Here is a 24,375-nt window from a genome sequence, read left to right as displayed (position 1 = left end):
TAGAGTGGCTATTTTCAAAAGGACAACTTTTAGAAAGGATGTGGAGAAAAAGAAACCCTTGCATGCTCTTGGTGGGAATATAAATTCGTACAACCATTTTGGAAAACATTATGGGGGTTTCTGAAGAAATTAAAAATACAACTACCATAGGGTCCAGCAATCCCACTACTGGGTGTATATCCAAAGGAAATAAAATCAGTATGTTGTAGAGATATCTGTGCCCCCATGTTGATTGCAGCACTGTTTATAATAGCCATGATGTTAAGTCAACCTAAGAGTCCATCAATGAATGAATGAATAAAGAAAACGTGGTACATATACACAGTGGAATACTGTTCAGTTACAAAAAAGAAGGAAATTCTGTTGTTTGCAGCAAAATGGATGATCCTGGAAGACATTATGTTAAGTGAAATAAGCCAGGCATAGCAAGACAAATACCACATATTCTCACTCATATGTGGAATCTAAAAAAGTTGATCTCATAGAATTAAAAAGAAGAATGGCAGCTACCAGAAGCTAGGGTGGTTGCGGGGAGGGGAGTTCGGGAGATGTTGGTGAAAGTATACATAATTACTATTAGCTAGGAGGAATAAGTTCAAGAGATCTATTGTATAGTATGGTGACTATAATTAATAATGATATATTATATTTTTGAAAAATGCTAAGAGAGTAGATGTTAAGTGTTCTTACCACAAAATGACAACTATGTGAGGTAATGCATTTATTAATTAGCTAGATTAGAGTTAACCATTTTACAATGTATATGTACTTTGAAACATTATTTTCTACATGATAAATACATACAATTTTATATGTCAATTTAAAAATAAATACATTTTAAAAACAAAACAACAACAAAAATAAAGTGGTATTCTATATTCTCCTTAGCTTTGGCAAGAAAAATGTCAAAGATATAAATAAACGGTTGAATAAATACGTGGAGAAAATATAAACCCAAACCTTCTTTTATAATGCTAATGTTTCTTCAAGGAATGGAAAGTAATTTTAATATTACCTTAAATAAGCCATGGTTAATAAAATTATAGATATTCGTTGTATGTCGGGCAGTATGATTTGACAGATATCATCTCAATTATCACAAGGGCACCTTAAAGAAGGCTTTATTTTCAGATGAGGAAACTGGAGCTTAGAGAGAGCATTTAGACTACCCAAGGTCTTGCAGCTTCTAAGTGGTGGAGCTGGAATTGGAACTCAAGTAGTGAGACTTTAGAACTTACTTTCCAAGATGAATATGTTATACTGCTTCCCTGTATGCTAAAATAGGAGCACAGTCTTGGTCATAAAATGTTGTTTTTGAAGTGCATGGTAGCATAAATTATTTTTGGACCATCTTTTCCTTCTTACACTCATTGCCCTTGTGAATACATTTCTGAAATATTTATTTGATTCATGCCTTCCTACTGCATTTTAAGCTCAGTGACGTTGGACTCTGTCTTTTTGTCCACCTCTGCTTTCCAAATTCCAGCACAGTTAGTTACTGTACAGAGTGAGCATTAAGGAGCTTTTGTTGATTGTATAAATGATCTGTTCCTCTACTTCTCTTTGTTAATGAGGAAAAGACAAGTTGCTGAGGAATCTAAGACAATTTTAATTATCTGGTTTCTATAACTATGGTACCCTGTCCTGACAGCTCTTAGCACTTGTAATATCTAATTATTCAGGAGGCAACATTTGTTAGCTGCCTTATTTTAAGCACAATATCAACTCTTAGATGGGAATTATATTTTCATATTCATAGGGTTCATAAATGTACCTTTTGAAGTTTTCATGGGGGTGGTATTTTAAATGTACTTTTAAAAAGCTGCACTCAGAGGAACTAATTTGATTTTTTTTTTTTTTTTGGCTGACAAGATTTTCCTAGGTATGGCTGAGATGCTAACAAATGTACCTTTCCAGTAGTAATGTATGCATATCATAGAGTGCTCTACTTGAAGATGACTCTGTATCTTCCCTTGGAACCTTAGGAAGGAGCGCTACATTTGATCTTTCTACACTCTGCAGCTGTGGAACCTATAACATGTTTTGCTGCCATTCATTCATAGTATGCAAGATGAGTTTTATATAGTACCTAGGAAAGTGCCTGGTACATAGTAGGCACTCAATAAATGCTGGTTGGCTGACTGATTGAATGAATAAATGCATGAATCTATGGTTTGAGTCAACTTGATATGATTTAAAGAAACAGAAATGCTTCCTCTCTGCCTGCAAATGACAAAACTCCCATATGCATCCATTTTGGGGGGTTAAAGCTTTAGAAGGCAGTTAGAGTGCAACTATACCAAATGAGTTCCTTTTTTTTGAGACAGGAGTCTGGCTCTGTCGCCCAGGCTGGAGTGCAGTGGCGCGATCTCGGCTCACTGCAAGCTCCGCCTCCCGGGTTCACGCCATTCTCCTGCCTCAGCCTCCCGAGTAGCTGGGACTACAGGCGCCCGCCACCACGCCCAGCTAATTTTTTGTATTTTTAGTAGAGACGGGGTTTCACCGTGTTAGCCAGGATGGTCTCGATCTCCTGACCTCGTGATCTGCCCGCCTTGGCCTCCCAAAGTGCTGGGATTACAGGCGTGAGCCACCGCGCCCAGCCACCAAATGAGTTTCTAACCCACTACCTTGAATTAGTATTCCAGACTTAGAGCTTTACAAGCTCTAGATGAAACGAAAGATTTAAGAAGATGAAATATAGGACCAGGCCCATTTCGATAAGAAGTAGGGGATGTGGGATGTGCAAAGAGATATGTCCAGGATAGGAAATCAGATGGACAGGATGAGGGGCCTGTAGAGGCACCAAAAGCCACATTTTTGGCTCCCCATTTACCATCTGAGTCCACTAGGACTGCTATGTGCAGTGAGCAGAGCAGGGCTGCAGCCCAAAGAGACAGGTGGCTGTCCATGACTTTAGAGTATTTTTTATTTGGACTGTCATGTGTATGTCTCTGGTAAATGTGGTATGAAATGCTTGACAGTTCCAGCTCTCCCAGCCCTAGCAGAGTGAGCTAAACATTTGCTGTGTCAGCCAACCTCCAAGGAGGACTGTAATGATCCTTGCCTCTTGACATTCAAGTCCTTGTGTAGATCCTTCCTATACTGAATAAGACGTTGCAGATGTGTGACCTCTGAGGTTAGATCATAAAAGACAGCCTAGCTACCACCTTGGGCTCTTGGACAGTTTGCTCTGGAAGAAGCTAGTAACCTTGTCATGGGGACACATACACAGCCCTGTAGAGAGGACCATATGGAGAGAGGAACTAAGGCCTCCCACCAACAGTCAGCACCAACCTCCTAGGCGTGTGAGTGAGCCACCTTGGAAGCAGATGCTCCAGCCCTAGTTGAGCCTTTATTTGACTGCAGCCCTGGCTGGTATCTTGAGTACAACCTCATGAGAAACCAGAACTGGAACCATTGAGCCAAGCTGTCCCCAGATTCTTGATGCCTGGAAACTGTGGAAGATATTAAATGTTTATTGTTGTTTTAAGCCACTAAGTCTGCAGTGATCCTTTTTTACACAGCATTAGAGACTAATTCATTTTCTTTGTCTTGAAGTCTGTGATCATAATTGCTATTACGCCATTTTGTTAAGCAGGTATCAGGTCTTCTAGACCTCTTTAAAGGTGGTGATTTTTTTCTTCTTTTTTCTGGTTTCACGTAAGAACTCAAGAATGTGAGAATATAGAGCAAAAACTAGAGTCAGGCAGACATACACTTGAATCTTGGTTTGGCCACCTGTGTGACTTTGAACAAGTTACTTAACTCATAAATTTATTATGAGCATTAAAAGAACAAATGCATTTCAAGTGCTTAAGATAGCGTATGACTTATAGTAAGAACTCAAGAAATGCTATTATAGTTATTACCTTTATATAAAAAAGATGCCTCTAAGGGCCTTGCCTTATGGGCAGCAACCACTAGCCAATACTCTAAAGTAACTGAAGTGTGTTCTGTGCCTAAATGGAGAATTTGATTTCTATTAGAATTATTAACTAAACTTATTAAGATATAATTTATATGCCATACAATTAATCCACTTTAAGTACACAATTCAATGATTTTTAGTAAATGTACTGAGTTGTGCAATTACTCCCACCACCCACTTTTAGAATATTTTCATTGCCCTGAAAGGAAATCTTGTGCCCATTTCTAGTCATTTCCCATTCTTACTTCCAGTCCCAGGCAACCACTAATCTACTTTCTGTCTCTATAGATTTGCTTTTTCTTTTTTTGACATTCCATATAAAAAGAATCATACAATATGTGGTCTTTTGTGTCTGGCTTCTTACACATAGTATGTTTCTGAGACTCTTCCATGTTGTGGCATGTATCATTACTTTATTTCTTTTTATTGCCAAAAATATTCTATTGTTTGGCTATACTACATTTTGTTTATCCATTCATTCATCAGTGGACACTTGGTTTGCTTCCGTGTTTTGGCTTTTATGGATGCTTCTGCTATGAATATTGGTGTACGAGTTTTTTGTGTGGACAAATGTTTTCATTTAGCTTGGATAGATACCAAGGAGTGGAATTGATAGGTAGTATGGGAAAAGTATACTTAACTTTTAAAGAAACTGCCAAACCATTTTCCAAAGTGGCTACACCACTTTGGAAATGAAAGTTCTTGTTTATCCACATCCTTGCCAACATTTCTTATTGTTTATTTTTTGATTTGTCTTGATTGCTATAGCTTTATAGTAAGTTTTTAAAATTGCAAAGTGAAAGTCCACGACATTTCTATTAAAAAATCATTTTAGCTCTTCTGTGTCTTTTGGTTTTTCATACAAATTTTAGGATCAGCTCATGAATTTTTGTGAGAGAAATTGAGAGAAAGAGAAAGGCTTATGGAATTTTGATGGGGACTGCACTGAATCTACTGATTAATTTGGAATAATTGCCATTTTAAGAATAAGAATTTTTCCAATTCATGAACATGGACCTTCTCCATTTATTTAAATTTTCTTTAATTTCCCTCAACAATGTTTTATAATTTTCATTGCATATGTCTTGCAATTCTTTTGTTAAATGTATTCCAAAATTTTTATTCTTTTTGGTAATCTTTTGGATGGAATTATTTTCTTAATTTCACTTTTGGATTGTTCATTCTTTATATATACATCTATAAATACAATTGATCTTCATATATTGGTATCGTCTTTTGCAACCTCGCTGAACTTGTTTATCAGTTCTAATAAGTGTTTCAGGAGCTCCTTAGGATTTTCTATAAACAGGATTAGATCATTTGTGAAGTTTTACTTCTTCCGTTCTAGCTGAATGCTTTCTACTTCTTTTTAATTACATGATTAATTATGTACTGGCCAGACCTCCAGTGCAATGTGGAGTAGAATTGGTGAGATGGACACCCTTTCCTTGTTTCTGATTTTGGGGGAAAAGCATTCAGTCTTTCACCATGAAATAGGATGACGATGGTAACTGTAGGTGTTTCATAGATGCCCTTTCTCAGATTGAGGAAGTTCCCTTCTACTACAACTTTGTTGAGCGTTTTTATCATAAAAAGGTATTGAATTTTGTGAAATGCCTGTTCTGTATCTATTATGATAATTGAATTTTGGCTTTAAACTAACTTTGCATTCCTGGGATAAATCTCAGTTGGTCTTGCACAAAGCAAGAATATGTATGTGTGTATTATGTTGTTTGGTGGAGTGTTATATAGATGTTAGTTAGGTCAAGTTGTTTGATATATGTATAGAAATACATATAAGGCACAGAAGTCTTATATATCCTGGCTGATTTTCTGTCTAATCATTCTATCAATTATTGAGAGCCCAATATTGAAGTCTAAAACTTTATTGTTGAGTTGTATATTTCTCCATTTTTGATTGATGTACGCTGTAGGCATAATAATGGCTCCCCAAATATGTCTGAGTCATAGAATCGATGACTATGTTATATTACATGGCAAAAGATAATTATGGTGGGAGGTGAAACTAAAATGTCTAATCAGCTGACCTTAACAATACCGGAAGTAGCTCTTAGTCTAAAATGATTCATCATTCCTTCCTGCCCACAAAAGCACATAACCAACACCAAATTAGAAAATCATGTTCTGTCTTTACAGAGTAAGGGAATAGGATCCAGCATCCCATTCATTATATCAAGAAGCAAAAGATTTGGGTTCTTCTTCAGCCTTTTGTGTGACATTGAGCAAACTACTCAATTTTACTGAGCCACAATTTTGTATCTTCAAAATATTTTTTACTTATTGCAGGATAATATATATTAAATGCTTGAGCTCCTCAAGTAGATGTTAAGAAATAGGGATAAAATAATCCAAACCTCATTTTATGCAATGAGAGGTGGTATGTTTGAAAACATTCACTGCATGGGCACTGGGAGGCAGCAACTCTTTTTCACAAAAATGCCAAGGGTTAAATATGGGAAAAATCTTGAGATTACTTTCCATCTCACAACAAATGACATTTACAACCAATTCTGGTTGTCTTTTACATTCTGTACATTTAGTTCTGAGAGAGAACTGCTTCACGCAGGCTTCTGAAAACCTTTTTGCTGCCATGGTGAAGCTGAAACTCCTCCCCCGACCTCCATCTCTTCACCATTTGACTTGGAAAATTTAACATGATAATATCTCAGCATTGTTCCTGTGACTTTAATACTGTGAGCCCTTCAGAGAATCCAATGACCACTTCCTTTTCTGAAATCTGTGTGCTCTTAATTTGGTCTTGCCACTGTCGCCTGCTCTCCAGCGCTTTCCCCTCCTCACTCCAACCCTGCTAACACACACCTACTCACACAATTTACACCCACACAATGACTCCAACATAAAGTGTGGGCTTGTGAAGTGGCAGACTTTTTGAAAACCACAAATGCAGATATCAAGGCAATCTCCAATTACATAAATTGCAGGGCCCAGTGCAAAATAAAAATGCAGGACTCCTTGTTCAAAACGCAGTAACAAAGTACATTAGCGGTAATAAAATGTGAAGCTTTATCCTTTCTTCCGTGATCTCTTTTTCACAACTAGTCATTATGTCTTTTATTTGCTAATGTGGTTCTAAGTAAAGAAAAGTTAAAAATTTGAATTATTAGCATGAATTGGGTCATTTATTTTTATGTTACCCAGTGCTACTTTTAAATCAAAATATAAGAGCATTTAACCCATATGCAGAATCACCAAAATTATGCAATTAGTATTTTGTAGGTCACACGGATATGTATTTCATTCTTACCAGAACAGTGGAAAACACTACACAGAACAAAGCCAAATACTTTTATTTCACATCTTGATATGCACACATGCTACCAACACTCCCTACCTTTGGCTTACTGATGAATAAGGTTAAACTGAAAGGAAAAGGAACTATGAGTTGGCCTATTTTCTGTTTCCTTTTATACCATCATTTTCAGAGAAAGTGGTTGGCTAATAAAGGAAAGCAAGAAGGGTAAGATAGGATATAATGGGGTCTCTTGTCTGTGTTTCTTAGAACATCATTACTTTCTAATTTTTTTTTTTTTTTGAGACGGAGTCTCACTCTGTTGCCCAGGCTGGAGTGCAGTGGCGTGATCTCGGCTCACTGCAACCTCCGCCTCCTGGGTTCAAGCGATTCTCATGCCTCAGTCTCCCGAGTAGCTAGGATTATAGACGTGGGCCACCACACCCAGCTAATTTTTTCATTTTTAGTACAGCCTGGGTTTTGCCATGTTGGCCAGGCTCTCTCAAACTCCCCACCTCAGGTGATCTACCCGCCTCAGCCTCCCAAAGTGCTGGGATTACAGGCGTGAGCCACAGCACCTGGCCAGAACACCATTACCTTCTCGGCAAGTTTTGGTTCAGGCCAGGTTCGATGGCTCACGCCCATAATCCCAGGACTTTGGGAGGCTGAGGCGGGAGGATCACTTGAGATCAGGAGTTTGAGACCAGCCTGGCCAACATGACGAAATCTGGTCTCTACCAAAAATACAAAAATTAGCCAGGCGTGGTGGTGGGCACCTGTAATCCTAGCTGCCCTGGAGGCTGAGGCAGGAGAATCGCTTGAGCCCAGGAGGCGGAGGTTGCAGTGAGCCGAGATCACACCACTGCACTCCAGCCTGGGCCACAGAGCAAGACTCTGTCTCAAAGAAAAAAAAATTCTGGTTCAAATGGTAACATGGCTTTTTGCACTGTCAGTGCCCTTACTTACTCAGCTGTAGAAGTAACACCCTTAAGTTGATTCACTTTTAGTGTCAGCGAACTCTTGGTGCATCATGGTTCCACTGGAGTTCTGTGCTCATGAGGTATTAAAATGTTCTATGTGAATAAGGCAACAAGAACTAGTGGACACACATCCTGCTCATATCTTGTCTGCTTATGCTCATGCTCCATTGTTCCATCAGACTTCACTTACAAGATACAAGTTTGAAGATTAAATTACTAAGAACTTCGAGACAGCAACAGCAAGGCATTAAACCAAGCACAAGACCCCTTAGAGTATGAAGCCCTGTGTGACTGCACAGGTGGCACACTCATGAAGTTGGCCCTGAGGCCATCTTTTCCTTTAACTTCCTCCCCTTTAGCAGGCATGTCACCTTTGCTACTTCCTCTCCGAATCATTTTCAAAGTAGTTTATAAATTATAAATATGCATCGGTGTTCATCACTGTCATCTGGCATGCCGAGGGACACGTGCTGAAGCAGGATTGCTCATTCTCCTCATTTGCCCCCACAAACTGCACCGAAGCTCGATGTTTTAGGAGATTTCTGGAAAAGAATACCCCAGCCCTGCCGGGTGCAGTGGCTCACGCCTGTAATCCCAGCACTTTGGGAGGCCGAGGCAGGCGGATCACGAGGTCAGGAGATTGAGACCATCTTGGCTAACACGGTGAAGCCCCATCTCTACTAAAAATACAAAAATTAGCTGGGCGTGGTGGCAGGTGCCTGTAGTCCCAGCTACTCGGGAGGCTGAGGCAGGAGAATAGCTTGAACCCTGGAGGCGGAGGTTGCAGTGAGTGAGATTGCGCCACTGCACTCCAGCCTGGACAACAGAGTGAGACTCCATCTCAAAAAAAAAAAAAAAGAAAAATGCTGTAATAGACATTCATGTACAAGTTTTTGTGTGGACATGTTTTCAGTTCTTTTGGGGAAATAAGTAGGTGTGGAATAGCTGGGTCATGTGGTAACTCTGTGATTCACTTTTGAGGAACTGCCAGACTGTTTTTCACTGTGGCTACACCATTTTATATTTCCACCAGCAACGTATGAGGGTTCTAACTTTTCCCCATCCTTGTCAACACTTGTTCTTATCTGTCCTTTTGATTATAGCCATCCTAGTGGGTATGAGGTGATATCTCATCATGGTTTTGATTTTTATTTGTCTAATGACTAATGATATGTGTTTATTGGCCTATATGTCTTTGGAGAAATGTCTACTCAAACTTTTGCCCAATTTGTAATTGGGTCATTTGTCTTTTTTTTTTTTTTTAATTTATTTTTTTATTGATAATTCTTGGGTGTTTCTCACAGAGGGGGATTTGGCAGGGTCATGGGACAATAGTGGAGGGAAGGTCAGCAGATAAACAAGTGAACAAAGGTCTCTGGTTTTCCTAGGCAGAGGACCCTGTGGCCTTCCGCAGTGTTTGTGTCCCTGATTACTTGAGATTAGGGAGTGGTGATGACTCTTAACGAGCATGCTGCCTTCAAGCATCTGTTTAACAAAGCACATCTTGCACCGCCCTTAATCCATTTAACCCTGAGTGGACACAGCACATGTTTCAGAGAGCACAGGGTTGGGGGTAAGGTCACAGATCAACAAGATCCCAAGGCAGAAGAATTTTTCTTAGTGCAGAACAAAATGAAAAGTCTCCCATGTCTACTTCTTTCTACACAGATACGGCAACCAACTGATTTCTCAATCTTTTCCCCACCTTTCCTGCCTTTCTATTCCACAAAGCCGCCATTGTCATCCTGGCCCGTTCTCAATGAGCTGTTGGGCACACCTCCCAGACGGGGTGGTGGCCGGGCAGAGGGGCTCCTCACTTCCCAGTAGGGGCAGCCGGGCAGAGGCGCCCCTCACCTCCGGGACGGAGCGGCTGGCCGGGCAGGGGGCTGACCCCCCCACCTCCCTCCCGGACGGGGCGGCTGGCCGGGCAGAGGGGCTCCTCACTTCCCAGTAGGGGCGGCCAGGCAGAGGTGCCCCTCACCTCCCGGATGGGGCGGCTGGCCGGGCGGGGGGCTGACCCTCCCACCTCCCTCCCAGACGGGGCAGCTGGCCGGGCGGGGGGCTGACCCCCCCACCTCCCTCCCGGACGGGGTGGCTGGCCGGGCAGAGGGGCTCCTCACTTCCCAGTAGGGGCGGCCGGGCAGAGGCGCCCCTCACCTCCCAGACGGGGCGGCTGGCCGGGCGGGGGGCTGACCCCCCCACCTCCCTCCCGGACGGGGCGGCTGGCCGGGCGGGGGGCTGACCCCCCACCTCCCTCCCAGACGGGGCGGCTGGCCGGGCGGGGGGCTGACCCCCCCCACCTCCCTCCCGGACGGGGTGGCTGCCGGGCGGAGACGCTCCTCACTTCCCAGATGGGGTGGCTGCCGGGCGGAGAGGCTCCTCACTTCTCAGACAGGGCAGCTGCCGGGCGGAGGGGCTCCTCACTTCTCAGAAGGGGTGGTTGCCAGGCAGAGGGTCTCCTCACTCCTCAGATGGGGCGGCCGGGCAAAGACGCTCCTCACCTCCCAGACGGGGTCACGGCCGGGCAGAGGCGCTCCTCACATCCCAGATGGGGCGGCGGGGCAGAGGCGCTCCCCACATCTCAGACGATGGGCGGCCGGGCAGAGATGCTCCTCACTTCCTAGATGTGATGGCGGCCGGGAAGAGGCGCTCCTCACTTCCTAGATGGGATGGCGGCCGGGCGGAGACGCTCCTCACTTTGAAGACTAGGCAGCCAGGCAGAGGGGCTCCTCACATCCCAGACGATGGGCGGCCAGGCAGAGACACTCCTCACTTCCCAGACGGGGTGGTGGCCGGGCAGAGGCTGCAATCTCGGCACTTTGGGAGGCCAAGGCAGGCGGCTGGGAGGTGTAGGTTGTAGTGAGCCGAGATCACGCCACTGCACTCCAGCCTGGGCACCATTGAGCACTGAGTGAACGAGACTCCGTCTGCAATCCCGGCACCTCGGGAGGCCGAGGCTGGCGGATCACTTGTGGTTAGGGGCTGGAGACCGGCCCGGCCAACACAGCGAAACCCCGTCTCCACCAAAACCAGTCAGGCGTGGCGGCGCGTGCCTGCAATCACAGGCACTCGGCAGGCTGAGGCAGGAGAATCAGGCAGGGAGGTTGCAGTGAGCCGAGATGGCAGCAGTACAGTCCAGCTTCGGCTCCGCATGAGAGGGAGACCGTGGAAAGAGAGGGAGACCGTAGGGAGAGGGAGAGGGAGAGGGAGAGGGAGAGGGAGAGGGAGAGGGAGAGCAAGAGCAGAGATGAGGTCTTGAGACGTTATCCAGGCTCGGGTCATTTGTCTTTTTATTTTTATATTGTATTTTATGTTGTAACCTCTTTTGTTAAATTTATTCCTATTTATTCTTTTTTTTTTCTGGGTCCTCTTCTCAGCAGAGACATTTTTATTCTTTTTGATGCTATTCTAAATATGATTGTTCCCTTAATTTCATTGTCAAATTATACATTGTGAGTATATTGAAGTACAAATGATTTTGTATACTGGTCTTGTATCTTGCTGAACTTATTTATTAGTTCCAATAATTTTGGTGTCAATTCCTTATGATCTTCTCTATATAAGACCTTGTCATCTGTGAATATAGATAGTTTTACTTCTTCCTTTCTGATCTGTATGTCTTTTATTTGTTTTTCTCGTCTAATTGACAGGGCTATAACCTCCATTACAATATTGAATAAAAGTGGTGAGAAAGGACATCTTTGCCTTTTTCCTGATTTTACAGGGAAAGAATTTAGTCTTCAATCATTAAGTATGATATTCACTGTGAATTTTTGTAGATGCCCTTTCTCAGTGTTATATATAAAGTTTCAGTGCCACAAAAGAAATAGCACTTGAGTATAAAATTTTCTTTTTAATTCTCAGCAAGGCAAGTTACTTCTATAGAAGGGTGCACCCTTACAGATGGAGCAATGGTGAGTGCACACTTGGACAAGGGAGGGGAAGGGGTTCTTATCCCTGATGCACGTGGCCCCTTCCCCTATTGGCTAAGGTTAGACTGCACAGGCTAAACTAATTCCGATTGGCTAATTTAAAGAGAATGACGGGGTGAGTGCTTTGGTGGGAGTCAGGGCAGAGCAGGTAGCAGGTAATCCGAATGAGTTAGGGTGGAGCAGGTGATCGTAATGAGTTAGGGTGGAGCAGGTGATCAGAATGAGTCAGGGTGGAGTAGGTAATCGGAAAAGGTTGCTTTACGAGGAAGTTAAGTTTAAAAGTAGAAGGCAAAGAATTGAACATACTGACATATTCTTTGAAAAGAAATGTAGAACTCATATCTAACATCAGGTTAAGATCTCTTCTATTCCCAGTTTCTTGAGTGTTTTTATCATGAAAGTGTGCTGGATTTTCTCAATGGTACTTCAACATCTATTGATGTAATCATGTGGTTTTTGTCCTATATTTTATTAATATGGTATGTTATATTGGTTGATTTTTGTATGTTAAACAATCTTGCATTCTTGTGATAAAGTCCACTTGGCCATGGTATATAATTCTTTTTATATGTTGTTGGATTCGGTTTGCCAGTTTGCCAGTATTTTTCTTTTTTTTTTTCTTTCTTTTTTTCTTTTTTTTTTGAGAAGGAATTTCAGACTTGTTGCCCAGGCTGCAGTGCAATGGCATGATCTTGGCTCACCGCTACCCCCACCTCCTGGGTTCAAGTGATTCTCCTGCCTCAGCCTCCCAAGTAGCTGGGATTACAGGCACGCACCACCATGCCCAGCTAATTTTGTATTTTTAGTAGAGGCGGGGTTTCACTATACTGGCCAGGCTGGTCTCAAACTCCTGACCTCGGATCCGCCCACCTCGGTCTCCCAAAGTGCTGGGATTACAGACATGAGCCATGCGCCTGGCCATGCTAGTATTTTTTAAAGGATTTTTGCATCTATAGTCATAAGAGGTATTGATTTGTAATGTGTTTAGTAACTTTCCTGGACTAATTCTATAAAATCTGTATTCTTTGTTGTGTATAGCCACTGAAGTCCCTGCTTAATTACCATAGTGGTCAGCTATTAATGGAATGAAGTTTCTCTTAAATGTCTTGAACCAATAAGTCTCCCAGCCTTTGCTGAAGGGCTCCATATATGTGTTGGAATATGCTTTGAATGTTTCAGCAGGCAGGTTTGCACCTCTGCCTTAGCCTTCTCTTCCTGCTTGTGCAGAGCCTCAAGATCAGCCAGAGGTGAGAGTTTAGTTTTCTTTTTCTCACATAGATTGTATTAGGTTTTAAGTGTAGGGCTCTTTGAGGTCTTTCCTGGACCATGCACACAGACCAGCACATTCACATGACCTCTTAGGTTCCCTGGAATATGTCAGAGCTCCTCAAAGCCCCTTATGAACATCTAATTCCTCAGTTTTTTCTTTTACATTTTTTGATCAGTCTCTTGTTGGCTCCAACTAGTAACACCACCTTAGGCAGCTGTGATGTTATGCAACTGCCAATTATTGTTTTTACAAATACCCTACAGGGTATTTGCACAGAGTAGGCTTTTGTACAGAGAAGGCTCTGACTCATGCCAAATTAAAATGAGGCCTGAGAATGGAACTTTTTAGTGAACTGTCAGACATGTTAAATAGCAATAATTCTCTGGGGTTGGATCTTTTGGGAAACTCCAAACCTCTTTTTTTTTTTTTGAGACAGAGTCTCACTCTGTCACCCAGGCTGGAGTGCACTGGCACAATCTCAGCTCACTGCAACCTCCGCCTCCCAGGTTCAAGCAATTCTCATGCCTCAGCCTCCTGAGTAGCTGGGATTACAGGTGTGTGCCACCATGCTTGGCTAATGTCTTTTTTTGTGTGTATTTTTTTTTGTATTTTTAGGAGAGATGGGGTTTCACCATGTTGGTCAAGCTGGTCTTGAACTCCTGACCTCGTGATCCACCCACCTTAGCCTCCCAAAGTGCTGGGATTACAGGCCTGAGCCACTGCACCCGCCCAACTCCAAACCTCTTTCGCCCTCTTCAGTGGATGCTAGGCTGCTGGATTTCCCAGCCATTGTAGTTACAGTTTTTAAGGCATTTAAGGCTACTGTGGAGCTGGGGAGAGAGGGATGGGATTAAGATAGGTTAAGAGGCTACAATATTTGTTGTTCTTACCAAGATTTAGCCATTTTTCTTGAATAAACATTCCTAAGATTGTTGCAAGTTTTAATTTCCAGAGTCCTGAAAAGTTGTTTCTGACAGCTTTTTTTCTAGTGTTCTCCTTGCTTTTATGAGGAGCGAATTTTCAGAGGTTCTTACTCTACCATTCTGGAAGTTGACATTGAGCTGCTTCACCTATCTTAATAAAGAAAGAAAAGAAAAAGTTTCCCTGTATTTACACAAAAAGGAAACTCTTCTTAATTTTTCTTTGCCTCTCTATGCTCACAACTGGTGCCTCTCAGAGATAAAGGGGTATTCTCAGGCCTTTTTCTACAAACTAACATTCATGAAACTTGGGACTGGGAGTGGAGGGACCATAAGAGGTGTGGCCCTGTTCTCCAGGAGCCCTTTCTTTCTTTCTTTTTTTTTTTTTTGAGACAGACTCTAGCTCTGTCGCCCAGGCTGGAGTGCAGTGGCACAGTCTTGGCTCACTGCAACCTCCACCTCCCAGGTTCACGCGATTCTCCTGCCTCAGCCTCCTGAGTAGCTGGGACTACAGGTGTCTGCCACCACGCCTGGCTAATTTTTGTATTTTTAGTAGAGACGGGGTTTCACCATATTGTTCAAGCTGGTCTTGAACTCCTGACCTCGTGATCCACCCGCCTCGGCCTCCCAAAGTGCTGGGATTACAGGCATGAGCCACACCGCACCCGGCCCAGGAGCCCTTTCTTTACTGAGCTGTCATCCCTTCTTGAAGCCACCTTGTGTCACAGTCAATCAACTAGTCAGGTGCATGTTTTATGACAATTATCAACCTTTATTCTACCGTGACACAAATGACATATATCATACTCCCATGGATGTACTGAAGGTAACAAATGTCTACAGTCCACTGTCTTTCCCACCCAAAAAGGTATGTCAGAAAAAAAGAGTTAGTAGATGTCTTAGCTTGGGTTACAGCAGAAGTAGACCCTGAGACAAGGATTCGAGTGCTAATGATTAATTTGGGTGAGGGGTAGAATATCAGAAAGCACTGGCTGAGGATTGGGGATATGAGGGAGGGAAGCCAACAAAGGGTTTGTATTCCAGCAAGTTACCACCATAGGCAACTGGAGTGCAATACTGCTGGGGAACTCTTGGGGCTAGTGTAAAAGACACACCTCAGAGTTATCTCAACCAAAGGGAAAGGAAACTGGGGTATTTATCTTCCAACTCCCATTCATCATTGGGAGTTAATTAATTCTTTAGAACTTTCATTTTGCCATGCATAAGCCCCTGCATGCTCTGGTAGCCAGCAAAACACTCTCAAGCAGAGAGTCACAGATATTCACAGTAAGCAGCCTTTAGTCTGTAGGGGTGGGGCTCAGGGGATTTGGGTAGGGCACTAACAGGGTCTGCTACAGTGCTAATAGCATTATTATTGGGAAAACTTTGGATTCTGTGTAATAGAAGTAAATAATTCCTATATCTTAATATTTAACTTGTATTAGTAACAGATAACATGATACATCTCACAGGAGGATGAGGCTTACTGCTTTATAACAAACATTTAAAAAAAGACCAAACAAATTATATTAGGGAGTTTGGTGATAGTTCCACTGAGCCAGTAATTATAATAACTATAATAAGGATGTAGTTGGTCAATAGGCTTATACCATCATAATGAGTTTGCAATAGACTCACTTATTATAACAATTCAATAATGATTATATTTATTTGTCTTTCTACTGACTGGTTTCAATATCTTCACAGACCTTCTCCACAGATTTTACAGCTTTTCAGGTGGAAACACACAGTGGCAAGTCTCTCTTGCTGCTCACACAGAGCATGGCCAGTCACACCGTTTCCTGAAAATTTCCTTTTGCTATTGCCTTGATGTTGGCCCTGGCATCCCACTATAGGTAGCTGTCCTCAGCTCCTGAAGCTCTTGTGTAGGTATGGGAATGTCTCCACAGTGCAAGACTGGCAATTTCTCAGAATTCCAGTATTCCAGGGACAGGCAGGAGAGCTAAGGGTCTTCTTCACATACTATAGAGTCTACCCAGGGCTCAAACATTCAGCTCCTTGATGTGCAACCATGTCTAATGCTGAGGCAAGCCCCCTAAACTACTTTGCCTATCTCTCCAATCCTTTTTCCAGGGCACTGTGACCATCACATGTTGCCAATCCTTGGTCTAGGCCCAGTGTTCATGGGACTGAGATGTTTGTTGTACTCAAAATAGGAATGTTTCTCTAGCTAACTTGGGATCTCCATAGACTTCCTTCACAAAGTAAAAATGTTCCCATCTGCTTTTAGTAATCTGCTACTGCCTTCTTCCATATGCTTCCTCTTTCCAATAGACTCTTGCATAAAATATATTATTACTTCTTTGCTGTTTCTGCTGATGCGCTTGGAGGATCTTCATCCTCTCCTTCAAACTTCACATGAACTTTTATCCTGATGTCTCCCAGTTATTTGTGAGAACACATTCGGTTATTTCTCAAGAGCTTGAAGGGTATGAAATATTTCAAGGTGATGATTTCACTTTTGATTTACACATTTTCTCCCCTTCCTTGTTCGTTATCAAGGGGAGCAAGGGGACTTAAGAGAAACCAATTTAGCCTTGATGGGGGCTCTCAGGGACATTAAGATGGCTCACTGCCAGCTCAAGAGTGGCATCTAATCAAGCTGGTGGGGCACAGCACTGAGACAATTTGCGTGGTGGGAAATCCTAGGATTCCTGTGACAAGAGGCTCCATGATTATAGTCATTAATACATTCATGGCCCTAGGCATGGCAAGACTTAGACAACATATGATGGTATTAGTCAAGAGAACTAGCTCCAGGGGATGATGGGTAAAAGCATGGATTTGGAAGTGGATAGATCTAGGTTTGAATCGTAGATCCAGCCTGTAGAATTGTTAGTACTTCAGGGACATGCTAAACCTCAGTTTCCACATCTATAAAATAGGAATAGCAATACTACTTACTATTATTATAGGGTTTTTGGAAAAGTTACATGGGACTTAGCATCATAGTAAATGCTAAAAGATGTCAACTGTATGGTAGGTAGAACTTTTGTCTCAGGTGAGGAATAGGATGGCAAGTCAGGGAAACAGAGGCAAAAGTCATAACATTTAAACTTGGGTCACCACAGCAGGAAGTAGGAACGCTTAGATGTGGGAGAAACATGAGCCATTAGGCTCTACCAGATAGTGGAACTTGGCATCTAACTCACCCATGTTCAAGCAAGTGGCAGGATGACTCAGCAAGTTGATGGAGCTGAGCTTACCTATTAAAGACATGACTAATTGCCCCAGCTAAGAGGACTTTTCATTCTTGCTCCTTTTAAAATAATGATATAGCAAATTTTCACATACTTTTCCTGAACATGGTAACTTTGTCCCATATTAACTTGAGTTCATCTAATCACAGAATGATAGAATTTTAGACTGGGAGGGCCTCAGTGCTACATTCCCTCTGCATCAACCTGGATAGTTACTACCTTGAGGGCAGTCCATTTTATTTATGGGCAGCATGAGTTAATTTTAATTTAATTCAGTAAATCTATTTTATGTGTGTAATATGGGCATAACAATACTCCTGACCTCATAAAACTGAGTGTAGATTAAATGAGAAATTCCATGGCAGAGAGTAAACGTTCAACAATGTTATTATTTAGATGTGCTACCTGTCCTAAGGTGCTCATAAATGTTTCCTCCAATGTGGAGAAATATGTCTCCTGTTAAGTTCCTAAGTGTTCCCTATGTTGCCAGGCAGAATAAATGTGATCCATCAGATATTCGGGGAAGACTCTCATGTTCTCTTTCTCATGCAGAAGAGTCTCAGTTTTCTCCTGTTTTCACTGTGATCTGGCAAGGTACAGTCCTTCCTTAAAGGGAGATAGTGGTTTTGTTTCAGGTGTAGTCCAGCCAGTACAGAGTGCCCTGATGCAGGCACAGCTGATGTCTTGGACAGAAATGCATTGGTGTCCCTTAAGATGGTATTGAACTTGCAATCAAATAAAACCCATTGGTCTTTAAAACTATAAACTGCTACCTACTCTAGGCTAACCCAGCCTTTGAATTAAATGTGGGACTTTGCATTCTGGTTAACTTGCATCCTATCAGTGAGGTCCATCATTTCAGCCTTGCCAGCTATATCTTGATTCTTGATTCCTTCATCTTTTATGTTAACTAGTCCTCCCATCTTTGGGTCATTTGTAAATGATCAAAGTATGTTTATATGTCTTCATCCAAATTATTTAAAACATTTTCAAAAAAAGGAGGAATGTCAAGTACAGCATCCTGAGGTATGCTAGTAGAGACTAATTATCAGATAAGTTGTTCAATGGACCTACCAAGTTGTTTTGCCATTCTTCCAGCATTTTCCACTCAAATCCATACAGAGAATGGGAGAGTCCTTCTCAAAAATTGCAGGATTCAGATATACTGGTTCTAAGTCATTCTACCCTGATGCCCCTGGGTTGAGTTTCATACTTGTTCTCTGCTCCCTTACGTGGTAAGTCTGAATACTCCTTGCATTTACAACATTGTACTATAATTTTTCATTTGTCTGTTCCCTTCTGTCTTTGGATTATGTGCTTTTTTGAGGGCAGGGGTTACATTTTATTTACCTCTATATTTCAGTACCTGGCAACTACAATCCACCAGGTGTACCAGGAGCTCTCTCTCTATATATTAGAAGCTTTATATATTCTTTTAGTTGTGTTAAATTCCACTTATATATTAGTCTAGTTAACTCTTCAAAAAAGAACTGAAATTAGCTTGGCAAGACATTGTTAATAAATGTATATTGAGTCTTGTGCAGAAACATTTTTTAATTGAAACTGTTTTAAAAATCACACTATGAAGGCATCCTTTTAAATAACTGTGTGGCCCGGGCATGGGGGCTCACACCTGTAATCCCAGCACTTTGGGAGGCCGAGGCAGGTGGATCACCTGAGGTCTGGAGTTCGAGACCAGCTGACCAACATGGTGAAGCCCTATCTCTACTAAAAATACAAAAAGTTAGCCAGGTGTAGTGGCACATGCCTGTAATCCCAGCTACTTGGGAAGCTGACGTAGGAAAATAGCTTGAACCCAGGAGGTGGGGGTTGCAGTGAGCTGAGATCATGCTATTACACTCCAGCCTGGGCAAAAAGAGCAAAATACCATCTCTAAATAAATAAATAACTGTGTGATATTCTCTAATAAGCATGTATCATAATTAATTTAACTAATTCCTATTGATGAACATTTAGGTTGCTTTAAATTTGTCTTGGTTTTAAATATCACTGACATGGACATCCTTTATGTAAATCCTTGACAATCTTTGATTTTTTTTTAAAGGATACACTGCTAAAGGATGATTTATTGTGTTAATGAGAATTATAAATTTAAGAATAGAAAGATTATACCAACTTACATTCTCAACATCAGAGAATGAGAATGTTCATTAAAATTTACCTTTAGAAACTTTGGTTTATTTTTAACCCCTAGTGTGACATTTTGTTGATTTTAGAAAGAAACAATTTTATTTTATTATTTTAATCAGCACTTTAAGCTTCTACTGAGATTGGAGGTTAGCTAAATATATCTTCCATTAATTTTCTGTTCATGTCCTTTGGCCATTTTCTTATTTAGCTTCTGGTGTTTTTGAATGTTTTACATATTTACATATGTTAATTAATGTATACAGGAAAATCTGGATTTAGAATGTGATTAAGATGACATTTCATACCATGGGACAGAATATACTGCACAAGAAACAATGGTGTGAAAGGTCTTTCTTCCTTTGAGGAAAAAATAAGCTTGATGTGCACCTTACACCATGCACAAAGTAAAATCCAAGACAGAATAAAGCTAGCTATAAAAACAAAACTATGAAATAATTAGACAAGATAATATTTTTCACATTTAGAATGAAGAGGGACTTTTAAAAACACAAAATTAATTCTTTGAATTCACTAAAGTAAAAGACCACTGCATGTATCTACATTAAACTACAGAACTTCTATACTGCAAAGACACATAGGCAAGCATAAAAAATAAGTGACAGATTGAGAGAAAATATTTGCAACACTGGAAACAGGTACATTTTTAAGATCTAGATATTTAAAGTGCCCTACCAATTGATGAGAAAAAGATAAGCAATCTAGTAGATTTTGAAATGGTTAACATATGCAAAAAGATGGTCAACTACGTTAATAGCCCAGGCTAAGAAAGCCCTGCTCTACCGCCTCCCCATTGCTTGCAGAAAAAGTTCACATTTTGCATTTCCTGTAAGGTTTTCCTTGATCTGATTCCTGTCTCCTCTTTCTGGCCTCATCCTGGCTCCCTGCTCCCTATTCCAAACTCTATACTTCAGCCATGATGCTACTCGGGACTCACAGCAAATTTGGCTATTGCTAATCTGCCTGCTTTGACTCTGTCTAGCATGACACTTTGTTAGCCTGATGAATACTTGCTCGGATCTCAGGACAATTATCATTTCATCTACAAAATCTGTCCTGCCCCTCCACCACTGCTCTTTGAGCCATTGGTAAGGTCTTCATCATCTTTGTACTCCCAATACCTAGTATTATATATCTATGTGATTTGGTACAGAGAATGAATGTACAGCCAATGCTTATTCAATTAAATCTAGCAATATCTCCTTTTCTTAGAGATTAGGCTATTGAAATGTAGAGAGTTTATTCTGACTGTTAGATAGAATTAGAGCTAGATCAATACTCCTTTTCTCATGAATCCTAGATTTTTTTTTTAGCTTTCTTATTAGCCTTAAATTACTTTATTTAAAAAATTCAATTTTTAATATAAAACTTTCTATTTATAAAAAAAGTATAAAAAGTGAAAATTGAAAAGTATAATTAACTGGCCTCTCATTCAGATATCTAGGAGAGCCAGAAGAGTGCATGTTACCAAAGGTAAGAAAAGACAGAGTTTTAGAATATAGGCAGTAGATAGCAACATGAAATGCACCCAAGTTCAATACAAATGAGGACAAAAATGGTGCATTTTTGGTGGCAATAAGAAGTTTCTTGGTGGTTTTTTCCAGGGCAGTTTCAGTGGAATGGTGGAAGACACTGCAGTAGGATAGAGATAATGAGAGAAAAGAAGTGGACAGTGAATGGAGACTATCCTTTTGTTTTGTTTTTTTTTTGAGGTGGAGTTTTGCTCTTGTTGCCCAGGCTGGAGTGCAATGGCGCGATCTTGGCTCACCACAACCTCCGCCTCCCAGGTTCAAGCAATTCTCCTGCCTTAGCTTCCCAAGTAGCTGGGATTACAGGCATGTGCCACTACGCCTGGCTAATTTTTTGTATTTTTAGTAGAGATGGGGTTTCTCCATGTTGGTCAGGCTGGTCTTGAACTCCCGACCTCAGGTGATCCGCCTGCCTCAGCCTCCCAAAGTGCTGGGATTACAGGCGTGAGCCACCGCGCCCGGCCATGAAGGCTATTATTTAGAGCAACATACCTTGTTCTGTGATTTCTCACGCCATCAAAACCAAAGATCAGGGCTGGCTGTTCTGGGTTTTGCAAGGTTCACCTGCTGGAAGTTAAGTGAAGTCAGTCATTTTTTTTGTCTTGTTCATACAAAATCCACAGTACCTAGCACGGTACCTGGCACATAGTATGTGCTCAAAAAGTATTTGTACTTTTTGAGTACTAAAATCTCAGCACAGGCAAACAGAGAGAGGGGAGAAGACACAGATTCCAGAGGTCAGTAGATCAAGGCTACTATAACCAACATGATTTAGGGAGACTCTGTGGTTCAAAATGATTCCCCAGCGGCCAGGTCTGGGCTCTCTTCATCATATTTCTTGTGTCAGACACTATTGCCCTGACCACACTGGGTGGGGTGGCGAGATGCGGGGGTGGGGTGATCTGTCATCCATGGATGGGCATGTAATCCAATTTTTTCCACAGGATCTTTTTACCTGGCCCTCGATAAAGGAGATCCTCTTTCTTCTCCAGGGCTAGAGCCATCAGTGTTTGAGTCCAGAATTAGCAGAGGTCTGTCTTCCCTGGTGCAGAAATAAAGTCCACCTATAGTAGGAGAGACTAAAGCCAAAATGCTGAGATAAGTGGAGGGCAGGTCCTAAAGAGTTTGAGTTCCTGGAATAGTTGTCCTTGAGGTCAGTCCACTCATGGTTAGGTTACCTGAGTCACTAAGTACTTCCTTTCCCCTACCGTTTTCCTTGAGTTTATTTGACTTAGTGATAGGAACAGGAGGCAGGAAAATTCTAGGCAGAAAAGGAGGAAGTCCCTGGCGAAGTCCCACCCTCAAGCCTAGAACTGTGGCCCAAAGTGAGAACATGCATTCCTGTTTTCCCGCTCCAATGTTGCCTTTTCCAAAACCACCCATGGCCTGGCGGGTCCCCCATCCTGTGCCCATGAAAACCCCAGGCTCCACTGGCAGAGAGCAGAGAAGCGGAGAAGAGGAGAAGCAGCTGGACATCAGAGACTGTGGTTTGACATCAGAGAGAAACAGCTTGACTTCAGACAGACAGCTTGACAGCAGGACTTTGGAGAAGAGTCTGGCTGGCTGGACTTTAGGGGAGGAATACCTTCTCACTCCACCCCCTTTCCAGTTAGTCCTCCTGCTGACAGCCACTTCCATCAGAATAAAATCCCCCATATTTACTATCCTTCAATTTGTTCGTGTGACCCGATTTTTTCTGGACACCGGGCAAGAGCTCAGGATACAGAAAGCTGTCACACTGACCCTCTGCCTTTGTGAAAAGGCAGAGGGTCCACTGAGCTGTTGAACACTTAAGCCATCTGTGGAGGCCAAGCTAAAAGAGCACTGTAACACAAGCCTCCTGGGGCTTCAGGGGTCACAGATACCCCCCTAGATGCTGCTGTGGGGCCGCACAGAGTTTTGCTCCTGCCAGCGCCCAAAATCACTCGCTCTGGCTCCTGCACCCACTCACCTGGGTGCTCCTGCGTGCTCCCCCTACCATGAGGAGTTGAGAGCTGCGGACTGAGGAAGTAAGGCACCCCCGTCGCGAGGCCCACGAAAGGGTCAAGGAAAATTTCTTGTTTCATTGGGTTTCTGGCACTTGCATCTGAAAGAGCTACAGAGACACAGGGCTGTGATTAGAAGCCCGATCTTTCCCCCTACGGTCCGTATCTGATCCTTGCACATGGTGCTAGTGATAGACCAAGATCTCTTCTTGTCTCTGAAAGAGGACAGACAGAAGCTACAGTTGCCTGTTCTTGTAAATAAAATTGTATTGGAACACAGCCTTGTCCATTCATTTGCATATTGCCTATGGCTGCTTTTGTGCTAAAATAAGAGTGCTTGTGATGAAGACCATACGGCTGGCAAAAGCTTAAAGTATTTACCATCTAGCCCTTGACAGAAAAAGATAATGAGGGTGGGGCTAGGTAGTGCATGCTGTTGATGGCCTCACCCAGATTCCTTTTTCTTCTCTCTGCACTCATATTGAGAGACAGGACTAGCTGGATTTCCCAGGCCGACTAAGAATCCCTAAGCCTAGCTGGGAAGGTGACCACTTCCACCTTTAAACACGGGGCTTGCAACTTAGCTCACACCTGACCAATCAGATAGTAAAGAGAGCTCACTAAAATGCTAATTAGGTAAAAACAGGAGGTAAAGAAATAGCAAATCATCTATTGCCTGACAGCACAGGGGGAGGGACAATGATCGGGATATAAACCCAGGCATTTGAGCCAGCAACGGCTACCCTCTTTCCGTCCCCTCCCTTTGTATGGGAGCTCTGTTTTTATTCTATTTCACTCTATTAAATCTTGCAACTGCACTCTTCTGGTCCGTGTTTGTTACGGCCCGAGCTGAGCTTTAACTCGCCGCCCACCGCTGCTGTTTGCTGCCGTCGCAGACCCACCGCTGACTTCCATCCCTCCGGATCTGGCAGGGTGTCCGCTGTGCTTCCGATCCAGCGAGACGCCCATTGCCGCTCCCGATCGGGCTAAAGGCTTGCCATTGTTCTTGCACGGCTAAGTGCCTGGGTTCATCCTAATCGAGCTGAACACTAGTCACTGGGTCCCACGGTTCTCTTCCGTGACCCATGGCTTCTAATAGAGCTATAACACTCACCACATGGCCCAAGACTCCATTCCTTGGAATCCGTGAGGCCAAGAACTCCAGGTCAG

General features: G+C 42.4%; 1 annotated feature.

Annotated features, from left to right (window-relative positions):
- Positions 21,717-22,916: an enhancer, noted in NCBI's record as "CDK7 strongly-dependent group 2 enhancer chrX:46122614-46123813 (GRCh37/hg19 assembly coordinates)". NCBI's record gives its function as "activates an origin of replication core promoter dependent on BRD2, BRD4, P300/CBP, MED14 and CDK7 cofactors, with strong dependence on CDK7, by STARR-seq in HCT116 cells {active_cell/tissue: HCT116}" and the evidence as "EXISTENCE:reporter gene assay evidence [ECO:0000049][PMID:35650434]".

The sequence above is a fragment of the Homo sapiens genome, chromosome X (assembly GCF_000001405.40).
Source record: "Homo sapiens chromosome X, GRCh38.p14 Primary Assembly".
Taxonomy (NCBI): domain Eukaryota; kingdom Metazoa; phylum Chordata; class Mammalia; order Primates; family Hominidae; genus Homo; species Homo sapiens.
Note: the sequence above shows the minus strand (reverse complement) of the source record. Positions and strands in the feature narration are given on the sequence as shown.